Genomic DNA, 6,653 nt, shown 5'->3' with positions numbered 1-6,653 from the left:
CTCCAGTGGTTTCTTTTCCCATCTGCATCTAGATAAGCTGGAGTCTCACTACATACACACACAAACACACACACACGCACACACACGCACACACATACACGCACACACATACACACATACACATACACAGACACATACACACATACACACACGTGCACACATACGTGCACACACAGACACACGTGCACACACACAGATACACACGCGTGCACGCAGACACACATACGCGCAAGCACGCAGACATGCACACACATACACACACGCACACAGACGTGCACGTACACACATACGGGCATGCACACAGACACACACGCATACACGCGCACACACACACATATACACACATACACATACACAGACACACATATACACACACACATACACACACGCACACACACGTGCACATACACACATACGTGCACACACAGACACACGTGCACACACACAGATACAGACACGCGTGCACACAGACACACACACATACGCACAAGCACACAGACACGCACACACATAGGCACACGCACACAGACATGCACACACACACTGGCTTGCACACAGACACACACACACATACATGCATGCACACATACACACACGTGCACACACATACACACATACACACACATACACATACACACACACACGCCTTTCCTTAATACCAGGGCCCCTTGCAGCCAACGACCAAGCAATCTCCCCCTTTCTATTCATAACCAAACTTTTTTTCAAGTCTACTTTTGTATTCTTTAATGCAATTAAAAAAATTTATTATTAATATTATTTTTGTTTGACAAGTCATAATTGTAGACATGTATAGCATACAACATGATGTTTTGATATATGTATACAAGGTGACATGATTAAATCTAGCGAATTAACATATCCATCATCTTGCTTCCCTACTATTTCTTATGGTGAGACATTTGAAATTTACTCTCTTAATCTCTTAGTTATTTTGAAATATAAACTACATTATTATTGATAATAGTTGTGCAGTAGATCTCAAAACCTTTTTCTCCTGTCTTTGTATCCTTTGATCCACAATTCATTCCCTCCCTCTCCATGCCCCACTCCAGGCTCTGGTAACTGCTGTTCTACTCTCTGCTTCTATGAGTTTACCCTTATTAGATTCCAAATGTAAGTGAGATCATGTGTTATTTTTCTGGACCTGGCTTATTTCATTTAGCATAATTTCTTCCAGATTCATCCATGTTGTCACAATTGACAGGATCTCCTCCTTTTTAAAGGCTAAATAGTATCCCATTGTGTATACTTACCACATTTTTTTAAATTTACTTTTTATTTCGCTAGGTTTGGGGGTTACGGGTGGTGTTTTGTTACATGAATAAGTTCTTTAGTGGTGATTTCTGAGATTTTGGTGTGCTCATCGCTTGAGCAGTGTACATAGTACCCAATGTGTAGTCTTTTAGAAAAAATTATTTTGGGAGGCTGAGGTGGGCTGATCAGGAGGTCAGGAGTTCAAGACCAGCCTGGTCAACATGGCGAAACCCCGTCTCTACTAAAGATACAAAAAATTAACCTGGTATGGTGGTGCATGCCTGTAATCCCAGCTACTTGGGAGGCTGAGGCAGGAGAATTGCTTGAACCCGAGAGGCAGCGGTTGCAGTGAGCCGAGGTCACGCCATTGCACTCCAGCCTGGGTGACAGGGTGAAACTCCATCTCAAAAAATATATATTATATTCCTTTTTTTTTATTTCCATAGGTTTTTGTGGAACAGGTGGTATTTGGTTACTTGAGTAAGTTCTTTAGTGGTGATTTCTGAGATTTTGGTGCACCATCACCCGAGCAGTGTACACAGTACCCAATGTGTAGTCTTTTATCCCTTACCCCCTTCTGACCCTTTCCCCTGAGTGTCCAAAGTCCAATGCATCATTCTTATGCCTTTGCATCCTCATAACTTAGCTCCCACATATGAGTGAGAACATACAATGTTTGGTTTTCCATTTCTCAGTTACATCACTTAGAATAATAGTCCAATTTCATCCAGGTTGCTGTGAATGTCATTATTAATATTTCATTTCTTTTTCATGGCTGAGTGGTATTTCATGGTACATATACATATATATATAATCACATTTTCATTTTTTTTGACTTTCCAACTGTATATCAATCAGGCACTTTCAATAGATTTTTATCATTTATTAAAATTTTTTTTGACTTTCCAATTGTATATCAATCAGGCACTTTCAATAGATTTTTATCATTTATTAAACTTTTTTTGACTTTCCAATTGTATATCAGTCAGGCACTTTCAATAGATTTTTTATCATTTATTAAAATTTTTTTGACTTTCCAATTGTATATCAATCAGGCACTTTCAATAGATTTTTATCATTTATTAAAATTTGGCTCTATGTTATAATGTCTGGTGGCTTTTTTTTGTTATACTTTAAGTTCTGGGATACATATGCAGAACATGCAGGTTTGTTACATAGGTATACACGTGCCATGGTGGTTTGCTGCACCCATCAACCCATCATCTACATTAGGTATTTCTCCTAATGCTATCCCTCCCCTAGACCCCCACCACCCAACAGGCTGCAGTGTGTGATGTTCCCCTCCCTGTGTCCATGTGTTCTCATTGTTCAACTCCCACTACAAATAAGAACATGCAGGGTTTGGTTTTCTGTTCCTGTGTTAGTTCGCTGAGAATGATGGTTTCCAGCTTCATTCATGTCCCTGCAAAGGACATGAACTCATCATTTTTTATTGCTGCATAGTATTCCATCGTGTATATGTGCCACATTTTCTTTATCCAGTCTATCATTGATGGGCATTTGGGTTGGTTCCAAGTCTTTGCTATTGTGTGCTATTGTGACTAGTGTCACAATAAACATACATGTGCATGAGTCTTTATAGTAGGATGATTTATAATCCTTTGGGTATATACACAGTAATGGGATTGCTGGGTCAACTGGTATTTCTAGTTCCAGATCCTTGAGGAATCGCCATAGTTTTCCACAATGGTTGAACTAATCTATACTCCCACCAACACTGTAAAAGTGTTCCTGTTTCTCCACATCCTCTCCAGCATCTGTTGTTTCCCTACTTTTTAATGATCACCATTCTAAATGGCATGATCTCGTATTTCACTGTGGTTTTGATTTGCTTTTCTCTAATGACCACTGATGATGAGATTTTTTTCATATGTTTGTTGGCTGCATAAATGTCTTCTTTTGAGAAGTATCTGTTCATATCCTTTGCCCGCTTTTTGATGGGGTTGTTTTTTTCTTGTAAATTTGTTTAAGTTCCTTGTAGATTCTGGATTTAGTCCTTTGTTAGATAGATAGATGGCAAAAATGTTCTCCCATTCTGTAGGTTGCCTGTCCACTCTGAGGATAGTTTCTTTTGCTGTGTGGAAGCTCCTTAGTTTAATTAGATCCCATTTGTCAATTTTGGCTTTTGTTGCCATTGCATTTGTTGTTTTAGTCATGAAGTCTTTGCCCATGTCTATGTCCTAAATGGTATTGCCTAGGATTTCTTCTAGGGTTTTTATGGTTTTAGGCCTTACATTTAAGTCTTTAATCCATCTTGAGTTAATTTTTGTATAAGGTGTAAGGAAGGGGTACAATTTCAGTTTTCTGCATATGGCTAGCCAGTTTTCCCAACACCATTTATTAAATAGGGAATCCTTTTCCTATTGCTTGTTTTTGTCAGGTTTGTCAAAGATCAGATGGTTGTAGATGTGTGACATTGTTTCTGAGGACTCTGTTCTGTTCCATTGGTCTATATATCTGTTTTGGTACCAGTACCATGCTGTTTTGGTTATTGTAGCCTTGTAGTATAGTTTGAAGTCAAGTAGCATGATGCCTCCAGCTTTGTTCTTTTTGCTTAAGATTGTCTTGGCTATACAGGCTCTTTCTTGGTTCCACATGAAATTTAAAGTTGTTTTTTCTAATTCTGTGAACAAAGTCAATGGTATCTTAATGGGGATAGCATTGAATCTATAAATTACTTTAGGCAGTATGGCCATTTTCACAATATTGATTCTTCCTATCCATGAGCATGGAATGTTTTTCCATTTGTTTGTGTCCTCTCTTATTTCCTTGAGCAGTAGTTTGTAGTTCTCCTTGAAGAGGTCCTTCACATACCTTGTACTTTGTATTCCTAGGTATTTTATTCTCTTTGTAGCAATTATGAATGGGAGTTCACTCATAATTTGGCTCTCTGTTTGTCAATTATTGGTGTATAGGAATGCTTGTGATTTTTGCACATTGATTTTGTATCCTGAGACTTTGCTGAAGTTGCTTATCAGCTTAAGGAGATTTGGGGATGAGATATATATATTTCTAAATATACAATCATGTCATCAGCAAACAGAGACAATTTGACTTCCTCTCTCCCTATTTGAATACCCTTTATTTCTTTCTCTTGCCTGATTGCCCTGACCAGAACTTCCAATACTATGTTGAATAGGAGTGGTGAGAGAGGGCATCCTTGTCTGTGCTGGTTTTCAAAGGGAATGCTTCCAGCTTTTGTCCATTCAGTATGATATTGGCTGTGGGTTTGTCGTAAATAGCTCTTATTATTTTGAGATACGTTCCATCAATGCCCAGTTTATTGAGAGTTTTTAGCATAAAAGGTTGTCGAATTTTATCAAAGGCCTTTTCTGCATCTACTGAGATAATCATGTGGTTTTTGTCATTGGTTCTGTTTATATGATGGATTATGTTTATTGATTTGTGTGTGTTGAACCAGTCTTGAAGCCCAGGGATGAAGCCAACTTGATTGTGGTGGATAAGCTTTTTGATGTGCTGCTGGATTTGGTTTGCCAGTAATTATTTGAGGATTTTTGTGTCAATGTTCATCAGTGATATTGGCCTGAAATTTTCTTTTTTTCTTGTGTCTCTGCCAGGTTTTGTTATCAGGATGATGCTGGCCTTATAAAATGAGTTAGGGAGGATTCCTTCTTTTTCTATTGTTTGCAATAATTTCAGAAGGAATGGTACCAGCTCCTCTTTGTACCTCTGGTAGAATTTGGCTGTGAACCCATCTGGTTCTGGGCTTTTTTTTTTGGTTGGTAAGCTATTAAATACTGCCTCAATTTCAGAACTTGTTATTAGTCTATTCAGGAATTTGACTTCTTCCTGGTTTAGTCTTGAGAGGGTGTATATGTCCTGGAATTTATCCGTTTCTTCTAAATTTTCTAGTTTATTTGCATAGAGGTGTTTATAGTATTCTCTGATGGTAGTTTGTATTTCTGTGGGATCAGTGCTGATATCCCCTTTATCATTTTTTATTGTGTCTATTTGATTCATCTCTCTTCTTTATTAGTCTGGCTAATTTACTTTTAAATTTTTTTTTTCAATTTCATGTAGTTCTGCTCTGATCTTTGTTCTTTTTTTCTGGTTGGTTTGGTTTTGGATTGTTCTTGTGTCTCCAGTTCTGTGAGGTGTTGTTACCAGTGGAAGGTGTCCAGGTTCTCGGCATCTTGAACAAAGAACTGGACAAAATGCACAAACAAAGTGAGGAAAGCAAAAGCAGAAATTTATTGAAAATGAAAATACACTCCACAGTGTGGGAGCCGGCCTGAGCATAGGGGCTCAAAAGCCCCGGTTACAGAATTTTCCAGGGTTTCAATACTCTAGAGGTTTCCCATTGGTTACTTGGTGTATGCTCTATGTAAATAAAGAGAATGAAGTGAAGTTACAAAGTCATTTACTTGGAATGTGCCCTATGTAAATGGAGAGGATGTTACTTGGTGTGTGTGATCCATGTAAATGCAGAGGATGAATGTGAAGTTACAAAGTGTAAATGGAGAAGATGTTACTTGGTGTGTGTGGTCTATGTAAATGGAGAGGGTGAATGTAAAGTTAGAAAGTGTAAATGGTGTAAATGGAGACAATGAAGTGAAGTTACAAAGCCATTCACATTCCTGTCATTGCTGAAGCGCTTCCATTTGATTTAGTTCTAGGAAGTCAGCATGGATCAACCTTACGTTCCCTGTCTCCAGGCCTTACTCTCCTGCCTCAGTGTGACCTTAGATTGTCTGTTTGTGCTCTTTCAGACTTTTTGGTGTAGGCATTTAATGCTATAATTTTTCCTCTTAGCACCACTTTTGCTGTATTCCAGAGGTTTTGATAGGTTGTGTCACTATCATCATTGAGTTCAAAGTTCAAACTTTTAAATTTCCATCTTGATTTTATTGTTGACGCAATGATCATTCTGGAGCAGGTTATTTAATTTGCACGTATGTGCATGGTTTCGAGGGTTCCTTTTTGAGTTAATTTCTAATTTTATTCCACTGTGGTCTGAGAGAGTACTTGATATAATTTCAACTTCCTTAAATTTACTGAGACTTGTTTTGTGCCCTATTATATGGTCTGTCTTGGAGAAGGCTGCATGTATTGATGAATAGAGTATATATTCTGCAGTTGTTGTGTAGAATGTTCTGTAAATATCTGTTAAGTCCATTTGTTGGAGGGTATAGTTTAGGTCCGTTGTTTCTTTGTTGACTTGCTCTCTCAACGACCTGTCTAGTGCTGTCAGTGGGGTATTCAAGTCACCCACTATTACTGTGCTGCCATCTATTTCATTTTTTGGTCTAGTAATAATTGTTCTATAAATTTGAGATCTCCAATATTAGGTGCATATATATTTAGGATTGTGATATTTTCCTGTTGGACTAGTCCTT

At 38.1% G+C, this 6,653-nt stretch overlaps 2 annotated features.

The window, feature by feature from the left end:
• Positions 352-881: an enhancer, noted in NCBI's record as "H3K27ac-H3K4me1 hESC enhancer chr2:201073293-201073822 (GRCh37/hg19 assembly coordinates)". NCBI's record gives its function as "activates a minimal SCP1, AML or CMV promoter by ChIP-STARR-seq in naive H9 embryonic stem cells {active_cell/tissue: H9 hESC(naive)}" and the evidence as "EXISTENCE:reporter gene assay evidence [ECO:0000049][PMID:30033119]".
• Positions 5,428-6,233: an enhancer, noted in NCBI's record as "OCT4-NANOG hESC enhancer chr2:201067941-201068746 (GRCh37/hg19 assembly coordinates)". NCBI's record gives its function as "activates a minimal SCP1, AML or CMV promoter by ChIP-STARR-seq in naive and primed H9 embryonic stem cells {active_cell/tissue: H9 hESC(naive and primed)}" and the evidence as "EXISTENCE:reporter gene assay evidence [ECO:0000049][PMID:30033119]".

Source organism: Homo sapiens, chromosome 2, assembly GCF_000001405.40.
Source record: "Homo sapiens chromosome 2, GRCh38.p14 Primary Assembly".
NCBI lineage: Eukaryota > Metazoa > Chordata > Mammalia > Primates > Hominidae > Homo > Homo sapiens.
This window is presented reverse-complemented; position numbering and strand designations above follow the sequence as displayed.